The sequence below is a fragment of the Homo sapiens genome, chromosome 8 (assembly GCF_000001405.40).
Source record: "Homo sapiens chromosome 8, GRCh38.p14 Primary Assembly".
Lineage (NCBI taxonomy): Eukaryota > Metazoa > Chordata > Mammalia > Primates > Hominidae > Homo > Homo sapiens.
In genome coordinates, this window is record NC_000008.11 from 89,232,838 (window position 1) to 89,257,117 (window position 24,280).

At 37.9% G+C, this 24,280-nt stretch overlaps 1 pseudogene, besides 2 other annotated features; it reads right to left on the reverse strand.

Annotated features, from left to right (window-relative positions):
• RPSAP74 (ribosomal protein SA pseudogene 74) lies at positions 10,487-10,964 on the reverse strand (annotated as a pseudogene).
• Positions 18,956-19,457: an enhancer, noted in NCBI's record as "NANOG hESC enhancer chr8:90264022-90264523 (GRCh37/hg19 assembly coordinates)". NCBI's record gives its function as "activates a minimal SCP1, AML or CMV promoter by ChIP-STARR-seq in naive H9 embryonic stem cells {active_cell/tissue: H9 hESC(naive)}" and the evidence as "EXISTENCE:reporter gene assay evidence [ECO:0000049][PMID:30033119]".
• Positions 20,483-20,777: a silencer, noted in NCBI's record as "tiled region #15400; HepG2 Repressive non-DNase unmatched - State 13:Ctcf". NCBI's record gives its function as "represses a minimal TATA promoter and a strong SV40 promoter by Sharpr-MPRA in HepG2 cells {active_cell/tissue: HepG2}" and the evidence as "EXISTENCE:reporter gene assay evidence [ECO:0000049][PMID:27701403]".

Here is a 24,280-nt window from a genome sequence, read left to right on the forward strand (position 1 = left end):
GGTCCTGATTCCTTTCTGCCTGCTGAAATCCCATAGTTCCCAAGTTCCATTCTTAACTATAACACTACTTGATCTTAAACTATTTGTGAAGAATTTTGAATTCATCATCATTTCTGTAATTTTAAAATCAGTAATTAAACTATTTTGAAGTGATTCTTGCCTTTTCTAAGAATGCAAAAGGATAAGGACTTTTCATAACAACATATTTAGCACTATAGAGTTCATTTATCTTTGATGCATCAAAGATCTCAAAGTTCTAAGTTTTCTAATTTGTTGTTATTACAATTTATAGTTTATCATATTGTTGATGTTGTAAACAAAGAAGTATCCAAGACAGATTTCAATCAATTTAGAAGCTTATTTTGTCAAGGTTAAGGATCATGACTTGTGACACAGCATCAAGAGTTCCTGAAAACATGTGCCCAAGATGGTTGGGTTACTGCTTGGTTTTGTACATTTTAGGGAGACAGAAGTTACAGGCAAAGACATAAATTAATACATGTAAGGTATACTTTGGTTCAGCACAGAAAGGGAGGACATCTTGAGAGATATTTTGTGTCATAGATGGATTTAAAAATTCCCTTATTGGCAATTGGTTGAAAGGGTTAAGCTCTGCCTGAACAGTCTAAATCAACTTGAGTAAAGTTAAAGGGGTGGGTCATGGAAGTCGAGATTCTTCTGGTGTAGATGAAGCCTCTAGGGAGCAGGCTTGAGACAGAATAGATGTGAATGCCTCATCAAAGGTGTCAGATTCTCCTGAGAAACCTAGTAAAGGAAGGAGATTCTTTACAGAATGCAAATTTCCCCCATAAGAGACAGCTTTGCAGGGCTAGTTCTAAATACGTCAAAGAAATATATTTTAGGGTAAAACTGCTTGATTTCCTTTTAGGACCTGTTACCTGTCAGGTGATCTCATACCAGTGTTAGGTTGGAGTTGATATCTTATTGAGACGAAGAGTCTGTTCTGTCATTTTTAGGACCTCTATTTTAATGTTAATACTCACCAGTTATGTGCCTAAACTACAAAGGGAGGAGAGTATAATGAGGCAAGTCTAATCACCCCCCTCCCCTGTTCCTGTTGTTATAAATAAAGTTTCAGTGCTGCAAAAGAAATAGCACTGGATTATAAAATTATTTTTTTAATTATCAGCAAGGCAAGTTACTTCTATAGAAGGGTGCACCCTTACAGATGGAGCAATGGTGAGCACACAATTGGACAAGGGAGGGGAAGAGGTTCTTATCCCTGACACACGTGGCCCCTGCTGCTGTATCATTCCCCTATTGGCTAAGGTTAGACCGCACAGGCTAAACTAATTCTGATTGGCTAATTTAAAGAGAGTGATGGGGTAGATGGTTTGGCCAGGAAAATGGTTATGACAGAGCAGGTAATCGGAATGAGTCAGGGTGGAGCAGGTAATCAAAAAAGGTTGCTTTATAAGGAAATGAAATTTTAAAGTAGAAGACAAAAAATTGAACATACTGACATATTGATTCTTTTTCTTTTCTTTTCTTTTTTTTTTTTTTTTTTTTGAGATGGAGTCTCGCTCTGTCGCCCAGGCTGGAGTGCAGTGCCGTGATCTCAGCTCACTGCAAGCTCTGACTCCCAGGTTCACGCCATTTTCCTGCCTCAGCCTCCTGAGCAGCTGGGACTACAGGCACCCACCACTACACCCAGCTAATTTTTTGTATTTTTAGTAGAGATCGGGTTTCACCATGTTAGCCAAGATGGTCTTGATCTCCTGACTTCGTGATCCACCTGCCTCGCCCTCCCAAAGTGCTGGGATTACAGGTGTGGGCCACTGTGCCTGGCCTGACATATTGATTCTTTGAAAAGAAATGTAGAACTCATATATAACAACCCCTCCTCTTGCATTTCCTTAGAGTTCTTTCTTTTCAAACTTTTTAACATGTCTTGGCTTGGTTGTTCTGCTTGATTCTCCAAAAGAAGACACTTCCCTAGATAAGGTAGAGGATAGTTAAGGGAGGTTTTAGTAAGTGCCATTTTTATGAGCCTCTGCACCAAGCCACGGATGCATGGTGTGACACAGCATCTGACAAGAATAAATACACCCATTACGGCTGCAAGGGAAGTAAGAATTGAGAATATTATTCTTTTCCATTTACCGAACCACTTTTCTAGCCATTCTGTAAAGGGTCATTTACCCCTGAGTTGCTGGCTAACTCATTGGATAGACCAGTCAGACCTTGCAATGTCTTTGTTATACTTCCATTAGGGGCAGTGTTGTTTGGGATGAAGCTGCAACACTGAGTTTTAATCATGACGCAAACTCCTCCTCTTTCTGTTAATATCATGTCTAAGGTTATCCTATTTTCCCAAGCCATCTGGCTAGTAGCCCCTAATTGCTCAGATATTCCTTTAACAGCATTTCTAGTGTAGTTAATAAATCACTGTTGGTTGTAATAGATGTAGTTTATCTAATCTACATTTTTATTTATTGTCACCCACCAAAATATTGACTCAAATTCTGCAGCTATTTTATTTCGGGATTTAAATTGATTTCGTATTCCTCATGGGATTCCAATTGCATTTAAATAGACGTGAGAGTTGAAAGACCCATAAGGGGCTTCTCTCGCTTTACTATGTCTTATTTTTCCTTCCTCTGGTTGATGAAATGCCAGGGTGAAAGGGATAGCCAATTGGACTAAAGCACAAGTGCCACTCCAGTTATTCAGCAGAGTGTCCAGTAAAGGTCCACCACAATACCACCACACATGAACAAGGGCTGACTGATTGATAAGGTCTTGAAAATTCTTAAGCTCACTGCATCCCTTCAGGTCTCCAAGGAACGCTAAGTTTCCTCCCTGTCATGAGAGACACAAGGTGAAATTAGTGTTGGGAGATGGAAGCTGGATGGCCCTCAGGGGCTGAAGTCCGCAGGGTGCCGGACTTCAGGATATAGCAGAGAGAGAGTGTGGCAGGACTTGTTACTCCAGGCTGTAGAATCCTGGAAAAGAGCTACCATGCAGCCCACGCCTGGTCGACTGGAGGACCACCCTAGTGGAAAAGGGACAATCTGGGCCTCTGGCCTGCTGTGCGCACAAGCATAACAATGGCTTTTGTTTAACATGCAAACAGAATATTTGATCCATTCCAACCAGCAATTTGCATCTTGGTATCCTATCTTAATTGCCAAAATTTGTTTTAAGTCTTTAACTTCTACAATAGCTATCTTAGTCTTGTCATTAGATGGAGGAGGAGCAATTGTTCCATTGTGAGAGGTTTTGTAAGAAGGCTTAGAGGAAGGTGCAGGCAGCGGTGGATCAAAGAAATGCATTTCAAAGAATCCAGTAGGGTCTGCCCCTGAAACCTCAGCCCCCCATACCATAAAACTAGCTTAAAGAAGGGAACCGGCTTAGAAAAGGGGAAAAACTTTGAGGGTTTGAGATAATAACCTGTATAGGATTGCACTGGTTTAGCTGACAGTTGGCGGGGGTGGGTGGGTGCTGTCCCTCTAGAAAAATGAATATTTGGTTTTAGGAAATTACAAAAACCAGTTCGGGGAGTCCATCCTTCCTCTTTAGTGGTCCACAGAACGTTGGACCAACTATGGCATAAAAGCTCTACATCAGGGAGCAAGACTCCTGGTTGACACTGGGGTCTTTATCGAAATCTCCCCAGATCAAATGATCCCAATTCACTATTGCACAGTCTGGGGAGAGTCAGGAGGGACAGAGGTACTTTTCTGAAGTAGAGAGCTGTCTTTGACTTGGCAAGTCCCCACAGGGTATAACAAGGCAAGCATTAAATGCAATAGTTTGAAGCAAAATTGACTTAGTTATGTTAATAACTAGATGGTCAGCAATAAAGCAAGGAAAGAAGAAAGAGTAATAGAATAGATGAAAGAGAGTTAAATTTTTCTTAGCTTTAGTTTGGTAGGGTTTTCCCCTGGGACTATGGCCCACGACTCTGGAGGGGACAGTGCTTTCTTGACTCAGGTGTGATGAGACCATCCCCGTTTGGCTGTATGAACAGCAGTTTCAGTGGTTAGCAGCACAAGGTAGGGTCCTTCCCAGGCTGGATCGAGTTTTCCTTCTTTCCACCCATTGATGAGAATGTGATCCTCAGGCTGGTGCTGGTTTACTGGAAATTCTAGGGGTGGTACCTGTGCTAAAAGACTTTTAGTTTTGAGGGAAAGGAAAGTGGAAGATAAACCAAGTTTATAATTTGTAAGAAAGTGACCATTTGTTTTAAATGTGGGGATATCAGCAGTGGACTTTATAGTCCTCGGTGCCTTCTTACTGAGAAATTTCCTTTAGCACCGATTTTTATTAGTTTTTAGACCAAAGAAAGTCAAACACCATTTTATATTTGACATTGCTTCCTGTATGATCTTTATACCAGATAAGCTAAACTTTACCTTTATATTAGTGTGTTATTAATGTTAAACTCAATTTCAATAAAACCTTATAGACATATTTATCTAATTTTAACATCTGACCATAAGGTAAGATTTTTATAGGCTCTCTTTAATCTTTTATAATTTTTGTTCAAGAGCAGGTTAATGCTTTAAGAAAAACCTGTTGTGCTTTTATTTTAATGTTCAGTTCACAGAAAGACTGGATGATACCCCTTTAACTTTAGCCAATATGTTTACACACATAATTTCCTTTACAATTAACATTTTAAAACTTGCTTAAACCTTTAAAACAAAATATTTTTTAACCTTTTAATGTAGGTAAAAATCCACATTCTTATGCCTCCTTATTGAGAGGAGGTGCCGGCTGGGCTTCCTGGGTCGAGTAGAGGCTCAGAAATCTGTGAAACTCACTCATTTCCTGCAACAGGACTTACTTTGGTTCTGGATGAATAATATTGAAGATATATGCTTAAAATATTCCTAACATCAGAATTTGTGCATGTGTTTTCTTCCCCAAGAAAGCTATAAACAGCGAAAATTTTGCTGTAAGCTTCCCTGTGTCCTCTCTCCCTTCCCCCTCCCCTGAAACTAAAAGCAATGTTAAAAGCCCATTTTTCTGTGACCAGCAGACCTTATCTATACTCCCAATTCCAATTCCATGTAAACACAATTTGTAAAATCCGGTGAGATCCTGTCTCCTTTGCCATGCTGCTGCAAGGTTATAAAGTAGATAAAACTTAAGTTACAATTCTTGTTTTTCTCAAGATCTGAGAAATGTTAAATGTCTTTGTCTCTCCCTCTGGTAACACCTTCCCACTACACCTATTTCCCACCTTAAAGAGTTTAAAAGGTGATCAAAAAATCTAACACTGGCTACCAGCTCAGAACCCCTTCCACATTGTGGAAGCTTTGTACTGTCACTCTGCTCAATAAAGCCTACAGTTTTTTTCTCTCAGTCCAATCAGTGTCTCTCTCTCACCACCGGCTGCCGCCACACCAAATCTTTGGCGTGGCTAAGGCAAGAACCTTTGGTGTTACATTATAATCCTTTTACCAAAAGTATATTTTACTTTCCTTACACACCTTGCACATAAACTGTTTCTTTAATAGTTTCACATTCAGGAGGCCTAATTGCTTTTAAATCATACAACATTTCTTGCATAAATTCCCTTCTGTAACTTTTTTTTCCACGACTTTTACAGACAATTCTTCAACATGCCTCAACTTTCTGACTTGTTGCAAACATCGTTTTCTTTAAACAACCAGTTAATTTATTTTAGGACAACAATTTATCATATAACATTCCTTTTACAGAAATTCTTCCCTCCCCTCCTTTTTTTTCCCAAAGATGATAACCATTCTTTTCAAAAGCAAACTTCCTTCATGTCTGTGGACTAGACTGTCTAAGGCCACAAGATTAGAAGTTAGGATAATACATGTTACAGTGTTAACTTTTAGCAAACTTTACTTTTGTTGAAAACCTTGTAAGTTTGGGATTTCAATTATTCTTTGCTATTAAGACCTCATTCAGTCCATATTAACTTAGAACTGGTATAGATTCTTTCTTGCTTCTGTAAGTACTTTAAGGTTCGGCTGAGTGCAACAGCTCACACATTTGAGCAGACCAATTATTAGGCAATCTTCCTAACTCTGCTTCTACAAGAGTTTCCTTATCACTTACTGAATATCCATTGTGTCTTTTTTCCCTCAATCACTTGGGAGGAACCATCTATCATTCTGTCCTGAGAGATCCTTCTAGGTCTGGTTGGACCTTTATATGGTAATTAATTAAGATTTAGATTCCCAGTTAGGAAGCCCGCTGGGTTAAGGGAATTATCAGTGGTTAATGTTAAATCATCTTTTTCTAACAGAATAGCCCCATACTTTAAGATTTTTGAGTGAGTAAGCTACCTTTTCCCTTTTTTTTTTTTTGACTTAGGATAGTTCTGAACTGGTGCAGTGTGCTCACAATGAGGTTTCCTCTAAAAGTTATTTTTCTACTTTCTTCTGTTAGCAAAGCAGTTGTCGCTACAGATTGAATGTACTTGGGCCATCCACGGGTTACTGGGTTAAGGATTTTTGATTAGGAAGGCTATGGGTTATCAGTGGCCTCAGTGCTCTCAGGTTATGCCCTTGTTCACACTGACAACAAGGTGGTATTGGAGTGTTATAGGGTCATGGAGAAGACCTTCAATTATCAATTATAGGTTTTAAATTTACCCTGGCTTTTAAAGGAATAGAGTACACTGTTTGTTTTCCCTAATACTTCTATCTCTGTCTTTCTCTCTTTCTTTCTCCTTTGACTTTCTGTCTCTCTCTTTCTCTCTCTCTGACTCCCTCTTTGTCTCTCTGTCTCTTCTTCTCTCTTTCTGCCTCTCTCTCTCTTTGACTCCCTCTTTGTCTCTCTGTCTCTTTCTGTCTCTCTCTTTCTCTCTCTCTCTTTCCTCTCTCTCTGCCAGCCACATGTGCTGCTGTTCTCCCCTCTCCTTCCCCTTCCCCTTCCCCTAGGGGAGGGACCAGTGGGAGTGGAGCTATCCTTTCCTCCCCTGAGAAGAAAGGAAAGAGGGGGTTTGTGTGAGGTTCGACCTTTGAAATTAGTGGAAGGCTCAACCCCTCACACCAGGGATGTCTTGCCTTGTCTGTCCCAGAAGGCTCAAACTCTCACACCAGGGGGTGTCTTGCCTTGCTGCCCTGGAAGGCTGACCTGTTTCTTCCTTTTCCCCCTCTGAAGGTCCCTTGCACACTTCCCACTCATGTCGTCCTCTCTGGCTGCTCCCTCAAGGGAGAATTAGGCCCCTCTTAGTGTTGGTGTGCCAGTATAAATCCCATGGCAGGATCCACCCTAAGCCATATGAGGTAGCTATGGAACCGCAGAGAGGACCCACTCACTCTGTCCAGCAGTAGGACTTGTCACCATCCACAAGAACAACACCGCAAGCAGGGTTGTTTGTGGTCACTCATGCACACACACATTTAGCCCTCTAGAATTTGACCACCAGGGAAGTACTTTACTGGTTCCTGCCCCTTCTCCTTCCTTGGTCGGTCCACAGAGTCGTTGCCGCAGAATGTGAAGATCCTTTAAGCTAGGTTGCTGGCCAGTTTTTTTTTTATTTTTTATTTTTTTCTGCATTGCTGAGAGCTGGGGTTATTCCTCCCACTGTGTGGGTCTTGATTTGACTATAGAAGGAAGTGAAGGAAGATAAGGAGGACCCAGATGAAGAAGGAACCATTAAAGAAATTTGAGCAAGGAAATGAGGTTTGCACCTTAGTTTGATAGCATGTGGAAGGGCAGGCTTAGAGAGACAAGCCTGGAGCCAGGAAGAACAGCAAAGAAGCACCTGCTCAGGGGAAAGAGTTATGGATACTTGAACTAGGGGCAGCAGTGTTGATGGAAAGGAACAAAGAAACTGGAAATTTAAGAATTTAGAATTGGTAAGGCTTGTATCTGATTAGATGGTGTGGAGCCAGGGAGTGTAAAAAAGCTAAAACAAACTGCTGGGTTTTTGGTTTGAAAATTTGGTAAGTGATAGTAGAATTCACCGAGCTATTCCAAGTAGACCTTTCACTATCTCACTTTGTTGGCTAGTCCCACTCAGCAGTCCTAAGCAGATGTAGTTGCTTCTCACTCAACATATTTTACTTATAAATATATACATATACTTCTTATAAGGTCCTGGTGCCCCTTGAAGGCATCGAGATATTGCACAGGAATACATTAATAGAATACAGCTAACAGATCTATTTTGGAGCAAAAACCAATGAAGTTCAGTCACTATATCTACCTTATAATTTCACTTTGCATATAGTGCCCTTCTTGAACATTAGACTTAACTGTCATGGGACATTTGAATCAACTATATCAAAAATTGAGGGTAATATATATTTATTAAGGACTTATATAAACAGCTAGGATTACAGAGGACAATTAGCCTTATGAGGACATGCCTAAGAGTAAGACAAACAAGGTTCCCCTCTGTATTAAATAACTTCCAGGGCCCTACAATGCCTTATTATATTATATAAATGTAATTTACACTTTTAAGATCACAGTAACCTGAAAGTCAAAATAGGGTCAAAACTGAAACTAATATTTCTCCAGTTGAATGCTTCCCTGAACTAGAAGAATCTCAGCTTCACTCAAATTCCTCCCAAATAGTTTTGAGAGTCTCCAGATGTCTCACATCTACTTTACATACAAGTTCCCTCAGATCTCCTTCTCTCATGATCCCATTTCAGCTCTCTGTGGTGAATCTGATACCCCACTACTGATGCCAGGATCTACAATGGTTAAGGTTCCACTGCCTGACAAACATGTTAGTGATACTGGTGCTTGCTGTTGTCTGCATTGAGGCTTCTGATATCTGTTACTGAGGATATTGAGGTTTACCCACAGAGAACTCTTGCCTGGTGCTGCTGAAGCTCTTCGTATACCATCTCCTCTGAACAGAGTCAACATATGACTTGTCTTCAATTATAGCCAAAGCTGTAAGTCCCAATATCACTAATGCTTTTCTTTGAAGCTCTTAAATGCATTTAATTCTTAATGCATAGCAGTTCTATTTGACTGTACACCCTAGTACTCAAAATTGATTCTAAGAAAGCTGTATGGGAATACAAACTAAAACAATGAATGCTATACCACCTTAAGAACCAGTTGATCCCTCCATCCTTGGCCACTGTTCTTGAAAACAAAAGTGAATTGACTCCCTTTTTCTCTAGAATGATTTGCTCCAGAACAAAGTTTAATTCTTTATGTATGAAGACCCATAATTGTTTCTATCACCCTGCCTACATATTCCTAACTAGTAAGGTAAATAAACTAAATTTAGGCTACATTTGAGAACTAAGCTACATATTTTACATGGGAACCACTAAAATTATCCTATACCATATTTTTTTTTTAAAAAAATGAGTGTGGCCCTGAACTAAGAATAGGGTCTCTAAAAAATATGATTATAGACTCTCTTTCTCTAATTTGGTGTCTTAAATTTTTATTAATGATTATGTTTTTGAGGGAGTCATTTGCTGCAATGAGAGACCACTCACATGGATCATTGAAAATCTTGTGAATAAGAAAAATAATAACAGATATGATATGCATGGTACTACTGATTACAAGATAAAGTACCCATTTAACAATCAGCATTCCTAGGGAGGATGTGAAGCCCTGAATTTTAGTGTTTGATGGTTTCTATGTAGTTTTGGTTAATTTTAAGCTATAATATGATATCACTGACCATGGAATAAGGAAGAGATGCTAAAAATAGGCTCTCATGATATGTGATGGCTCAGGCACACTACTGATTAAACCTTTTATATGAAGCTTTTAACATATCTATACTTTGGGGGAGATGCTTTTACCCATGGAATACCCACACCAATAATAAGCCAAGCCATGATAGAAGTATCCTATATCTTATAGTATTTTACTGTAGAAGGTACCATTTTCTTGAAAGATAATTGCTCACCTTCTACCCTGAAGATAGCAATTGACTGCTCAAATTGTTGCTACGTGACAGCAAATAAATGGCAAACATCTATAGACCAGCTGATTGGTGCATAATCCACAAGGTCTATCTATCTGAAGATTTTCCAGGAACTAAAGGGAAAAAGAAAGAATATTTCTTGCCTTGAATCATTCGAGGAAAGAGATGTAAATACGAATTGGAAATTTATTATTATTATTATTATTATTTTGAGGCAGAGTCTCGCTTTGTCGCCAGGCTGGAGTGCAATGGCACAGTCTCAGCTGACTGCAACTTCTGCCTCCTGGGTTCAAGTGATTCTCCTGCCTCAGCCTCCTGAGTAGCTGGGAGTACAGGTGCAGGCCACCACACCCAGCTAATTTTTGTACTTTTAGTAGAGACGACATTTCACCATGTTGGCCAGGCTGGTCTCAAACTCCTGGCCTCAGATGATCCACCCGCCTCGAACTCCCAAAGTCCTGGGATTACAGGCAAGAGCCACCATGCCTGGCCAAGATATAAATTATTAACTGTAAGGTCCCCACTATTTGTGGGACAAAGGTTGCTTCCAGAAACCTAAAACATTTTCTGAAAAGTAAAAGCGGGTGACCATGTCATATTTCTTTTTCTTTCTCTTTTTTGTTTTAGAAACTGATGTTTATCTTCCATCAACTTTATTTCCATGTTGCTTAAGAGCCCATCCAAGAACAGCTTAAGACCATTCAGTGGTTGCTCCTACTCATTCAGTGGCCTGAGCAGTGGGAGCTGCAGGCCAGTCTTCCATGGCAGGCTGAGCCCTCCAGTCTTCAGTAGGGAACTGCTGAATAGGCACAGAGGGCACCTGCATGCCTTCAGACCAGTCTGCAACCTCAGGCTGAGTAGCAGTGAACTCAGGAGCTGGAGCAGTCCATTCATCCTAAAAGTCCTCCTTGGTCACAGCCTTTTCAGCAGGAGCCTGCTTTTCTTTTTAGGTTTCTTTCAGGATCTCTGTAGAAGTAGAGATCAGGCATAACCTCCCACAAGTATTCACAGGAAATGGTGCCACTCATGCACAGAACTTCCTGAGCCGGCATCCACCACATCAAACCCACTGAGTGAGCTCCCTTGTTGTTGTGGTATGTTGTCATATTTCTTTTATATGACTCTCTTACTCAAAAATCACAGCTCAATTTTAGTCAGAGACAGCATAGACAAGTGAACAAATACATGGGGTAACAGAAAAATTTAGCTTTTAAACATGGAATCATTTTTGTCTTCAAAATACAGGTTGAATGAGTAATCACGGAAGTGGGAGATGACATATAAAACTCTTAACTTTCTCTGACCAATTCTTTGTCCCATGGGAGCAGATGAGCCATGGGGGAAGTCATTGGCCTTGTGTTTCAAATAGGAGCTGAATAACACAGCCTGGGCTTGTTATGAGTTCACCTCCATTTCAGAGACTGACCTGAGGTAAACTGATTGGGAATTAGGATTTTCCTTCTATAAGCTGAAGTTTCTCTTGAACTATTCATATTTCAATCTTAAACTCCATATCTTCCATGGGATGCCTTTAAGAAAAAAGAAAGTGGACAGCATCCTAGACACTGTGGCAATGGCGGGATGTTTTGGAATACACGTATCTTTCAAGTGTCACTCAAATATCACTTGAAAAACAATTTTAAAACTATTTTAATCAAGATTAGTTTCCCACAGAGTTATAATACACCATACCCCCCCAGTGACATATGTAAAGACTCAGCACCAAAAATAATTTCCTCACAAGGATGGAATTTTTTGTCTTTTTTTTCCAGGTGTACCATGACTGGTCCATATTTCCTTTCCTTCCACCTCTCTAGAAATAACCACTATTCTCATTTTGAGTTTTATCATCCCTTAGTATATTTTTGTAATTTTACTACATATATACTTAGAAAACCAGATGCTCTACACATTTAAACACTCTCACATGCATATATAGAATACCAAATAATACACAGAATCCAGTACTTCCTTTATTGCTCAAAATTATGACAATACATGTAGCTCTAGTTAATTTAACTACAGCTTCATATGATATTGCTAACTAGAACACAACTTATGTTTCTTACCATTCTCTGGTTTTTAGGTTGCATCCAATATTTTGTTACTCTACCTAAAGAACATTCTTATCTGTGCCTCATTGTACACATGTGGAGAACTTTTTCTAGAGCAGATGCTAGAAAAAAAAATTGTTCAGTTATAGAGGCTCCTCATTTCCAAATTCATTACACTGTGAAACATTAATTTTCAAATTGTTTATATAATGTGTCCTCTTATCAGCAGCAATTGCTCTATATTCTCATCAACATTTAGGATTGTCAGACTTGTAATTAATGCCAATCAACCAGATGTATAACAATAGCTTATTATTGTCCGAATGTGTACTTCGCTGATTACTAGTGAGGTTGAGCATATTTTTATGACTTGGCATTGAGTTATGTTCTTACATAGCCTGCCTTTTATAGCTTTTGTACATTGCTCTATCGCAATTTTTTTATTGAGACTTTATTTTCTATTCCTTTTATTTTTAATTCACTCCTTTTATTTTTAATTCACACATAATTGTACTAATTTATGAGATACAGAGTAATATTTTATTTTATTTTACTTTATTTTATGTTATTTCATTTTTGAGACAGAGTCTTACACTGTCACCCAGACTGGAGTGCAGTGGTGTGATCTTGGCTCACTGAAACCTCTGCCTCCTGGGTTCAAGAGTTTCTCCTGCTTCAGTTCCCCTAGAAGTTGGGATTACAGGTGTGTGCCACCACGCCTGGCTAATTTTTGTATTTTTAGTAGAGAATGGGTTTCACCATGTTGGCCAGGCTGGTCTCAAACTCCTAACCTCAAGTGATCCACCCGCCTTGGCCTCCCAAAGTGCTGGGATTACAGATGTGAGCCACTGCACCCGGCCCAGGGTGATATTTTAATGCATGTATGTACAATGTGTGATGATAAAATTATGGTAGTTAGCATATCTATCACCTTGAATATTTATCATTTTGTTGTTATGAACATTCGTTTAGCTTTTTGAAAATAAACACTAAATTGTGGCTAACCATAATTACCCTATAGTGCTATAAAACACTAGAACTTATTTCTCCTGTCTGGCTGTAATTTTATATTTATTAACCAACCTCTTTCCATCGTCCTCTCTTCCCTACACTTTGCAGCCTCTAATAACCACTATTCTACTCTCTGTTTCTGTGACCACCTTTTTTCCTTCTTTTCCTTTCTTCCTTCCCCGCCTTCCCCTTCCCCTTCCTTCCTTCCTTCTCTCCTCCCTCCCTCTCTGTCTCTCTCTCTCCCTCTTTCTTTCTTTCTTTCTTCCTTCCCTTTCTTTCTTTCCTTCTTTCTTTCTCTCTCTCTCTTTCTTTCTGTTCCCACATATACAAGAGAACATGTAACATTTCTCTTTCTGCACTTGACTCATTTCACTTAACATATTGCCTTCTGGGCTTATCCATGCTGCTGCAAATAACAATATTTTATAATTATTTCTGGCTAAATAATATTCCTCTCTGTATATATACAACAATTTCTTTATCCATTCATCTGTTGATGAACATTTAGTTTCACTCTGTGTCTTGACAGTTGTGAATAGAGTTGCAATAAACATGGAGATGCAGCTATCTCCTCAATATACTAATTTCCCTTCCTTTGGATAAATATCCAGTAGTAGGATTGCTGGTTCATGTGGTAGTTCATTTTTTGTTTTTTTGAGAAATGTTTATACTGTTTCCCATAATGGTATACTAATTTGTGCTTCCACCAACAGTTTATGAGAATACCCTTTTCTTCACATCCTAACCAGCATTTGTTAGTTTTGTCTTTTTTGACAGGAATATTTTTGTCTTTTTAATGATAGCCATTATAACTCAAGTGAGATGATATTTCATTGTACTTTTCATTTGTATTTCCCTGATTATTAGTGATGTTGAGCTTTTTAAAAAACATATACTTGTTGGCTGTTTGAATGCAGTTTTTGTGTTTTGTTTGACTATTTTTAAATCCAATTGTTTCCTTGCTGTTTGTTCCTTTTAGTTCCTTGAATATTATGGATGTTAGTCCCTTGTTGGGTAATTAGTTTATATATATTTTCTTCCATTCTACAGGTTGTCTCTTCACTCTATTGATTGTTTCCTTTGCTTGTCAGGAAGCTTTTTACTTTGATACGGTCCCATTGGTATAATTTAATTTTGTTGCCTGTGCTTTTGAAGTCTTCATTATAAAACCTTCGCCTGGACCAACACCCTAAAGCATTTCTCCTATGCTTTCTCCTAACAGCTTTATATTTTGGGATTTTTACATTTAAGTCTTTAGCCAATTTTGAGTTAATTTTTGTGTATGGTGGGAGGTAGGGGTATTGTATTATCCTTCTGCATGTGGATATCCAGTTTTACAAGCACAATTTATTGAATAGACAACGTTAATGTTAATTTTCCCAGTTAATGTTCTTGGCACCATTGTCAAAAGTCAGTTGGCTGTAAATACAATAATTTATTTCCAGGTTATTCATTCTATTCCATTTGTCTATCTGTCTGTTTTTATACAAACACCATGCTGTTTGATTACTAGAGCTTTGTAGTATATTTTGAAGTCTGGTAGTGTGATCCCTCCAGTTTTGTTCTTTTGCTCAAGACTACTTTGGCTATTTGGGATCTTTTGTGGTTCCATATGACTTTTAGTATTTGTTTTCCTATTTCTGTGAAGAATATCAATGCTATCTTAACAGGAATTGCCTTGAATCTACAGATTGCTTTGGGAAGTATAGTGACTTTAACCATTTAATTCTTCCAATTCATGAGCATGAGATATATTTCCATATTGTTGTGTCCTCTTCAACTTCTTTTAACAGTATTTTGTAGTTTACCTTGTAAAGATCTTTTATCTCCTTAGTTAGATCTATTTCTAGGTTTGTTTTTTTTTTTTGCAGCTGTTGTGAATGAGATTGCTTTCTTGATTTTTTTAGATAGTTAATATTGATGTAAAGAAATGCCACTAATTTTTGTATGTTGGTTTTGTATTCTGCAACTTTACTGAATTTGTTTATCATTCTATGAGTATTTTAGTTGAGTCTCTAGATTTTTCTATGTATAAGATTATGTAGTTTATGAAAGGGGACAATTTGACTACATCTTTTCCAAATTCTTAGCCCTTTATTTCTTTCTCTGGTCTAATTGTTCTGGCTAGGATTTCTCATACGATGTTGAGTAAGAGTGGTGAAAGTGAGAATCCTTGTCTTGTTTCAGTCATTAGAGGAAAGGCTCTCAGCTTTTCTCCATTCAGTATGAGTTAGCTGTCAGTTTCTCATATATGGCCTTTATTGTGTAGAGGTATGTGTCTTTAATACCTAATTTGTTGAGAGTTTTTATCATGAAGGGGTATTGAATTTTATTTAATGTTTTTTGTCTCTATTGAGATGATAATATAGTTTTTGTTCTTAATTCTGTTGATGCAATGTATCACATTTATTTATTTTCTTATGTTGAACCATCCTTGCATTTCTGAGATAAATCCCATTTGATTATGGTGTATTATCTTTTTGATGTGTTGCTTTGTTTGTATTTTGTAGCATAGATATTTGCATCTATGTTCATCAAGGATATTGTCTTATAGTTTCCTTTTTTTTTTTTTTGTCTGTTCTTATCTGGTGTAGGTATCAGGGTAATGCTACTCTCATGGAATGAGTTAGGAATAATTCCTTCTTCAATTTTTGAAAATTGCTTGAGAATAATTTTTGTTACTTCTTTTTTAAAAAGATTGGTAAAATTCAGTAGTAAAGCCATCAGTCCTGGGCTTTCTTTTGTTGAACGACTTTCTGTTACTGATTCAATCTCATTACTTTTCATTGCTTGTTCAAGTTTTCTATTTCTTCCTAGTTCAATCTTGGCATATTTTATGGTCCCAAGAATTTACCCATTCCCTCCAGGGTTTCCAATTTGTTGGTGTATAATTCTTCATAACAGTCTCTAATTATCCTTTGTATTTCTATGGTATCAGTTGTAATGTCTCCTTCTTCAAATCCAATTTTGTTTATTTTGGTCTTTTCTTCTTAATTCTTCTAGCTTGTAGTTTTTCAATTTTGTTTATGTCTGCAAATAAAACAACTTTTCATTTTGTTAATCTATTCCATTTTTTACTTCTAATTATTTAGTTATTTGATCTTTATTATTTCTTTCCTTTCAAATTTCAACTTTTATTTTAAAAACAAAGGGTATATATGCAAGTTTGTTAAATGGGTATATTGCATGATGCTGAGGTTTGGAGTATGGATCCTGTCACCCAGGTAGTCAGCATAGTTCCTAATAGGTAGTTTTTTAAACTATGTCCCCATGTCTTCCTCCCCCTCTACTAGTCTACAGTGTCTATTTTTCCCATGCTCACATCCATGTGTGCTCAGTTTTTAGTTCTCACTTGTAAGTGAGAACATGCAGTATTTGGTTTTCCATTTCTGCATTAATTCTCTTAGGATAATGGCCTCCAGTTCTACTCATGTTGCTGTAAGGAGACATGGTTTTATTCTTTCTTATGGCTGCATCGTATTTCACGGTATATATGTGCCATATTTTCTTTATCCAATCCATCATTTATAGTCACCTAAGTTGCTTCCATGTCTTTGCTTTGTGAATGATGTGGCAATGAGCACATGAGTGCATGTGTCTTTTTGGTAGAATGATATATTTTCCTTTGGGTATGTATGCAATATGGGATTGCTGGGTCAAATGGTAGCACTGTTTTAAGTTCTTTGAGAAATCTCCAAACTGATTTCCACAGTGTCTGGATTAATATACATTCCCACCAGGATTGTATAAGCATTCTTTTTTCTTCACAGCCTTGTCAGCGATGATTTTCATGTTTTTAAACATAGCCATTCTGATTAGCATGAGGTTTTATGTCATTGTGGTTCTGATTTACATTTATCTGACAATTAGTGATGATGAGCATTTTTTCATATTTTTGTTGGCCACTTGTATGTCTTGTTTTGAGAAATGTCTGTTCATGTCCTTTGAGCATTTTTAATGGGTTATTTATTTTTTCATGTTTAACTGTTTAAGGTCCTTATATATTCTTGATATTAGACCTTTGTCAGATGCATAGTTTGTGAAAATATTTTGCCATTCTGTCAATTATCTGTTTAATCTGTTACTAGTTTCATTTGCTGTTCAGAAGCTCTATAATTTAATTATGTCCCACTCATAAATTTCTTGCTTTTGTTGCAATTGTTTTTGCTAACTTAGCCAAAAATTATTTGGCAAGGTCAATGTTGAGAAAGATATTTCCAGGATTTTCTTCTAAGATTTTTATGGCTTGACATTTAAACTGTAATGTAAAACATTTAAATCTTTAATCCTTTAATCCATCTTGAGTTACTTTTTACATGTGGTGAAAGATAGGATTCCAGGTTCATTCTTCTGCCTATGGCTAGCCAGTTGTCTCAGCACCATTTATTGAATAAAGGGTCCTTTCGTCATTGCTTATTTTCATTGGCCTTGTCAAATATCATATGGTTGCTGGTATATGGCTTTATTTCCGAGTTTTCTATTCTGTTCCATTGGTTTACATGACTATTTTTGTACCAGTACCATGCTGTTTTGGTTACAGTAGCCCTATAGTATAGTCGAAGTTGGGTTGTGTGATGCCTCCGACTTTGTTCTTTTCACTTAAGATTGTTTTGGTTATTGAGGCTCTTTTTTGTTTCATATGAATTTTAGAATAGTTTATTCTAATTATGTGCAGAATGACATTGGTAGTTCAATAGGAGTAATGTTGAATATATAAATGGTTTTGGGCTGTATGGCCATTTTAACAATATTCTTCCAATGCACGAGCATGAAATTTTTTTTTCATTTATTTGTGTTTTCTCTGATCTTTCAACAGTGTTTTATAGTTCTTGCAGATATCTTTCACATTTTTGGTTGGCTGTATTCCCAAGTATTTCATTATCTCTATGGGTATTGCAAATGGAATTGTGTACTTAATTTTGATTCTCACTCTATACGTTATTGTTGTATAAAAATGCTATGAATTAATATACATTGATTTTATATCCTGAAATGTTACTAAAGTAATTTATCAGTTGCAGGATTTTGGCAGAGTATTTAGGGTTTTCTAGATATTCAATCATATTGTCAGTGAAGAGAAATAGTTTGACTTCTTATTTTCCTATTTGGTTGCCTTTTATTTCTTTGTCTTGCCTGATTACTCTGGCTAGGACTTCTAGTAAGATGTTAAACAGGAGTGGTGAGAGTGGGCATCCTTACCTTGTTCCAGTTTTCAAAGGGGAATATTTCCAGCTTTTGCCCTTTCAGTGTGATGTTGGCTGTGTGTTTGTCATGGATGTCTCATTATTTTGAGATATTTTTCTTTGATGCCTAGTCTGTGGAGAGCTTTTATTGAACGTTTGTTGGATTTTATTGAAATTCTTTTTTGTGTCTATTGAGATAATCAGATGGTTTTTGCTTTTAATTCTCTTTATGTGGTGAATCAAGTTATTAATTTGCCTATGTTGAACCAGGCTTGCAGCCCAGTAATAATGCCCAGTAGAATCAAATAATTCTATTTGATCATAGTGTATTAACTTTTTGATGTGCTGCTGAATTTGGTTTGTTAGTATTTTATTGAGGATTTTTGTGTCTATGTTTATTGTTTATCAGGTATATTGGCCGAATTTTTTTCTTTTTTCATTGTATCTTTGGCAGATTTTGGTATCAGGCTGATGCTGGTTTTATAGAATGCATTAGGGAGGAGCCCCTTCTGTTTTTATTTTTTGGAATGATTTCACTAGGATTGGTACCAGTTCTTCTTTGTACAACTGGTAGAAATTGACTATGAATTCACTGGTCCAAGGTTGCTTGGGGTTGGTAGGTATTTTTTTATTGATTCAATTTTGGAACTTATTATTGGTCTGTTTAGGTTTTCACTTTTTTCCCAGTTCAATCTTGGGAGATTTAGTATTTCCAGGAATTTTTTCATTTCCTCTAGATTTTCTAATTTGTTTGGGGAGAGTTTTCATAGTTATCCTGCTGTTGTTATGTGTCTGTTTAAATCTTTTTGTAGGTCAAGAAAAACTCGTTATATGAATCTGTGTGCTCTAATGTTGGCTTTGTATATATTTAGGATATTTAAGACTTCTTGTTGGATTTTACTCCTCATTATCCAATGCTCTTCTTTGTTATTGGTTTAAATGGTATTCTTTATCCTTTTTGTTATTGGTTTAAATGGTTTTATATGGTAGAAGAATAGTGATTCCCGATATCTTTTGTTTCCCGTTTGCATGATAGATCGTTCTCCTTTCCTTTCCTTCAGCCAGTGAGTGTCATTACATGTGAGGTGGGTCTCTTGAAGACAAAAAACAGTTGGGTATTGCCTTTTTCCAGCTTGCCATTGTTATGTATTTTAATTGGGATGTTTAGCCCATTTACATTCAGGGTTAGTATTGATATGTGAGATTTTGAATCTGTCATTGTGCTGTTAGCTGGTTGTTGTGTAGACTTGATTGTATAGTTGTTTTATAGTGCCTGTGGGCTATGTGCTTAAATATGCTTTCATGGTAGCAGGTGTCATTCTTCCAATTCCATGTTTAGCATCCTATTAAGGCCCTCTTATAAGGCTGATCTAATTGAAACAAATTCCCTCAGTGTTTGAGTGTCTCAAAAAGATCTTATTTCTCCTTCATTTATACAGCTTTGTTTGGTGGCACATGAAATTATGGGTTGAAATTTCTTTATCTTAAGGATGCTGAAAGTAGGCCCCCAATTTCTTCTGTTTTATAAGGTTTCTACTGAGAGGTTCACTGCTAGCCTGATGGGATTTCCCTGTAGGTGACCTGACCTTTCTCTCTAGCTGCCTCTAAGATTTTTTGTTTTGCATTGACTTTGGTGAAGCTGATGACTATGTTCCTTGGGGTGGTCATTACTGTATAGTTTCTAGCAGGGGTTCTCTGTATTTCTTAAATTTGCATGTTAACCTCTCTAGTGATATTAGAGAAATTTTCATGGCTATAACCACAAATATATTTTCTAAGTTTTTTATTCTCTCCCCTCTCCCACTAATTCCAATGAGTTATTTATTTGGTCTTTTTACATAATCCCATAGATTTGAGAGTATTTGTTCATTCTTAAAATTCTTTTTTTTTAAACTTTATTTTTGTCTGACTGAGTTGATTCAAATTAGTAACCTTCAAGCACTGAGATTCTTTTCTCAGCTTGGTCAATTCCGCTGTTAATACTGCTGATTGCATTATGAAATTAATATAGTGAATTTCTCAGCTCTAGAAGTTCAATTTGGTTCTCTCTTAAAATGACTGTTTTGTCTTTCAGCTCCTGAATCATTTTACTACTTTCCTTGATATCCTTTGATTGAGTGTCAACTTTCTACTTAGTACTGATGAGCTTCCTTGCCATCCAGATTCTGAATTCTATGTCTGTCATTTCAGAGATTTTAGACTGGTTAAGAAATCATTGCTGGGAGCTAGTAGACTCATTTGGAGGTAAGGGGACACTCTGGCTTTTTGAATTGCCAGAGTTCTTGTGTTGATTCTCATCTCAGTAGGTTTGTGTTCCTTTAACTCAGCTGTAAGTTTACTCAGTTGGCTTCATTTCCAGAATGTTTTAAGAGGGGCAAGGCTCTGTATGTTAAGAGGGGCAAGACTCTGTATGTCCATGGTCTTTGTTTGTGGCTGAATTATGCTCTTGGTTTCACAGGGGAGGGTTAGCAAAATATTTTGGTGTTGTAGTTTGAATTACTATCCAGTAGATGGCACATAAGTGTCATGGGCAGTAGATAGGCTCTTAGCCTTGCAGCTCCTTTGTATTGATTTTCAGCAATGCTCTTAGACGTAGGAGGGAGAGAGGTGACTCCTTCACCAAGTCTGCTCCTGGGACTTGGCAGAGTCGCCTTTTATAACTGGCACTGAGCTGGTATTTCTTTTGTTAAGTGTTCTGGGCCACAGGGTGACCTTGGGCAGGGGCCATGGCAAGCAGATAGGACACCTTCCTGGACTGGCCCTGTAGAGAGAGGCATGTCCTGCTTCCATGCCAAACCATGAACCCACATGTCTCACCCCTGTCAGTGTCTGAGAGCATGGTGTACTCCCCAGCTTGTGTACCAGCCACAGATCTCAGCTCAGCACTCCTGAGCCGTGTGTCACAGTCCTAGGGTACCAGGATCAGCTTGTGGCTCCATCTTCCAGACCCTCAGGATCAGGTTCCAGGTGCCTTCAGGGATCTGATGTGCTGTCAGGCCACCAGGAATGTAACCAGGTGGAGGGAAGCACCCAGGCTGGCCAGCAGAAGCTGCACTATGCACATGTTTCTGTGGACTGGCCAGGCAGGGGCCCTGGAAGGAAGTGATGGACAGAAGGGCCTGCAGAACAGTCATACCCCAGTCCTACAGGGGATCTGGCCCTGTTTTCTCCTGGCCCAGTGATTTAGCTGGGGCTAGAGCTTCTCAGAGGGAGATATAGAGCCCAGGGGATGGGTGCCTATTGGCACAAAGGACCTCAGTTTAATGCTGGGTGAAACCATGTCTCTGTCTACTCTCCAGGCAGAGCCTCCTGCCAGCTCAAACATCCGTAGGGGAAATCAGGTCCTCTGTAACCAGTCTCTCTGAGGTCCATGTCATGAGTGGGCAGTCCTTTAACTCACCATTTCCTCAGGAGCTGTTTGGGGCCAGGAACTAGCTCTAGCATTCAGGTACCCCATGAAGGGTTGCCAGCTTCCTCCCTCTTCAGCCTCAGTGTCTGCATCATGTCTCCATTCTCAACATTTTCTCTTTGCAGATCTGTTCAAATTATGTTGTCTACTCAAATTTTTGGACTCTCTGGTGGGAGCAGTGCTTCCTGGCTGCATCTGGTTGGCCATCTTTACTAATTCTTTTCCTCTACTTATTTTAGGTGTGGTTTGTTCTTGTGTTCTAGTTTTTTGAGATTCCTCTTTAAATTACTTAGTGAAAATCTTTCTCCTTTTGGTCATAGGCATTTATTGCTTTAAGCTCACCTCTTAATACTGCTTTTGCTGTGTCCCATAGATGTTTGTGTGCTATGTTTCTATTTTCATTTGTTTCAATGAGTTTTTAAAATTCCAGTTTTAATTTCTTTCTTTACCCACTGATCATTCAGTTGCGTGTTGTTTAGTTTTTATATATTTGCATATTTTTGAATGTTCCTTTTGTTGTTGATGTTTAGTTTTATTCCATTGTGGTCAGATAACATACTTGTTATGATTATAATTTTTGTATATTTGTAGAGACCTGCTGTGTGGTCTAACATGTGGTCTATCCTAAATAATGATTCATGTGATCAAGAGAAGAATTTGTATTCTGTAGCTTTTGGATAAAATGTTCTGTAAATGTCTGTAAGGTTCATTTTGTCTACAGTGCAATTTAACTTCAGTGTTTCTTGGTTGATTTTCTGTCCAGATCAGTGGTCCTCAACCTTTTTGGTGCCAGGACTGGTTTCATGGAAGACAATTTTTCCACGGACCAGGGAGTCAGGAAAGGATGGTTCTGGGATGAAACTGTTCCATCTCAGATCATCAGGCATTAGTTAGTATATTAGCCCATTTTCACACTGCTACAGCGAGCTGCCCGAGACTGGAAAATTTGTAAAGGAAAGAGGTTTAATTGACTCACAGTTCAGTATGGCTGGGGAGACCTCAGAAAACTTACAATCCTGGGGGAAGGCAAAGGGGAAGCAAGGCACCTTCTTTACAAGGCAGCAGGAAGGAGAATGAACACAGGAGGAGCTATCAAACACTTATAAAACCATCAGATCTCATGAGAACTTACTATCACTAGAATAGCATGCGGGAAACTACCTCCATGATTCAATGACCTCCAGCTGGTCTCTCCCTTGACATGTCATGATTATGGGGATTATAATTCAAGATGAGATTTGGGTGGGGACACAAAGCCTAAACATATCAGCTAGATTCTCATAAGGCGAACACAACCTAGATCCCTCACATGCACAGTTCACGGTAAGGTTCTTGGTCCTATGAGAATCTAATGCTGCTGCTGATCTGACAGGAGGTGGAGCTCAGGCCATAATGCTTCCTTGTCCTGCCGCTCTCCTCCTGCTGTTCACCTGGATTACAAACAGGCCATGGAACATAACTGGTCAGGGTCTGCAGCCTGGGGCTTGGGGACCCCTGTTCTAGATGATCTGTCCATTGCTGAAAGTTGGGTGCTGAAGTCCCCAATTATTGAGGGTTTTTTAATTAAATATAGCAAAGCTTGTGCTTATACATACTACAAGTATCTTCTCACAGTCTTTTGCTTAATTTTTAACGTTTTTAATAGAATAAATTTTGCTAAGGCAAATGATTTTACTTATAAGATAAATTTAGATTCTTAATTCACAATATACACTTAACAAATCCAGGTGAATAGTGGAGGAAGAAAGCTTTAGAAGCTTTTAAAAAAATATGAAGATTATCTCTGTGAAGTTGAAACACGATGAATGCATAAAACAAAAAGGTAGTTAACTAACAAATTTACCACCCCAATATAAGAAGGACAACAAATTAGAGACTGTCAACAATTCTGCATTTCCAATGTTAAGAATAAAATTTGAAAGTTAGTCATGAAAAGAAACGGGAAAACTTGATCTAAAAAACTCAATAAAACTGATTCAGAAATGATTAATGTTGCAATTTAGCTGATAAAGATACAAATAATTTAATGTAAACATGTTCAATTACTTAAAGGAATAGATGAGACTAGTGAGTGAATATATAGTGAATCTCAAAAAACAAAATAGGAACTCCAAAAAGAAGTAAGTGGAAAATTCTAAATGTGAAAATTCTAAACCCAGCAATCCCATTACTAGGTATATACCAAAGTAAAATCAATTGTTCTACCAAGAAGATACATGCAGTTGTATGTTCATCACAGCACCATTCACAATAACAAAGTCACAGAATCAACCTATGTGCCCATCAACAGTGAACTGGATAAAGAAAATATGGTACATATACACCATGGAATACTACACAGCCATAAAAAAGAATGAAATAACATCCTTTGGAGCAACATGAATGCAGCTAGACCGCCATTATTCCAAGTGAATTAATGCAGGAACAGAAAACAAACTACTGCATGTTTTCCTTTATAAGTGGGAGCTAAAAATTGGGTACTGATGGACACAGATATGGAAACAATAGACACTGGGGACTACTAGAGGTGAGAGAGAGGGAGGAGGGCAAGGGCTGAAAAACTACCTATTGGATACTATGCTCACTACCTCATTCATGCCCCAAACCTCAGCATCACGCTCTATTATCTTTGCAACAAACCTGAACATGTGCCCCACGAATCTAAAATAAAAGTTGAAATTATAAAAAAAAACTATAAAGCACTCATATAATGGAATGCTCCTCAACAATAAAAACAAGCTGCTGATACACACACACA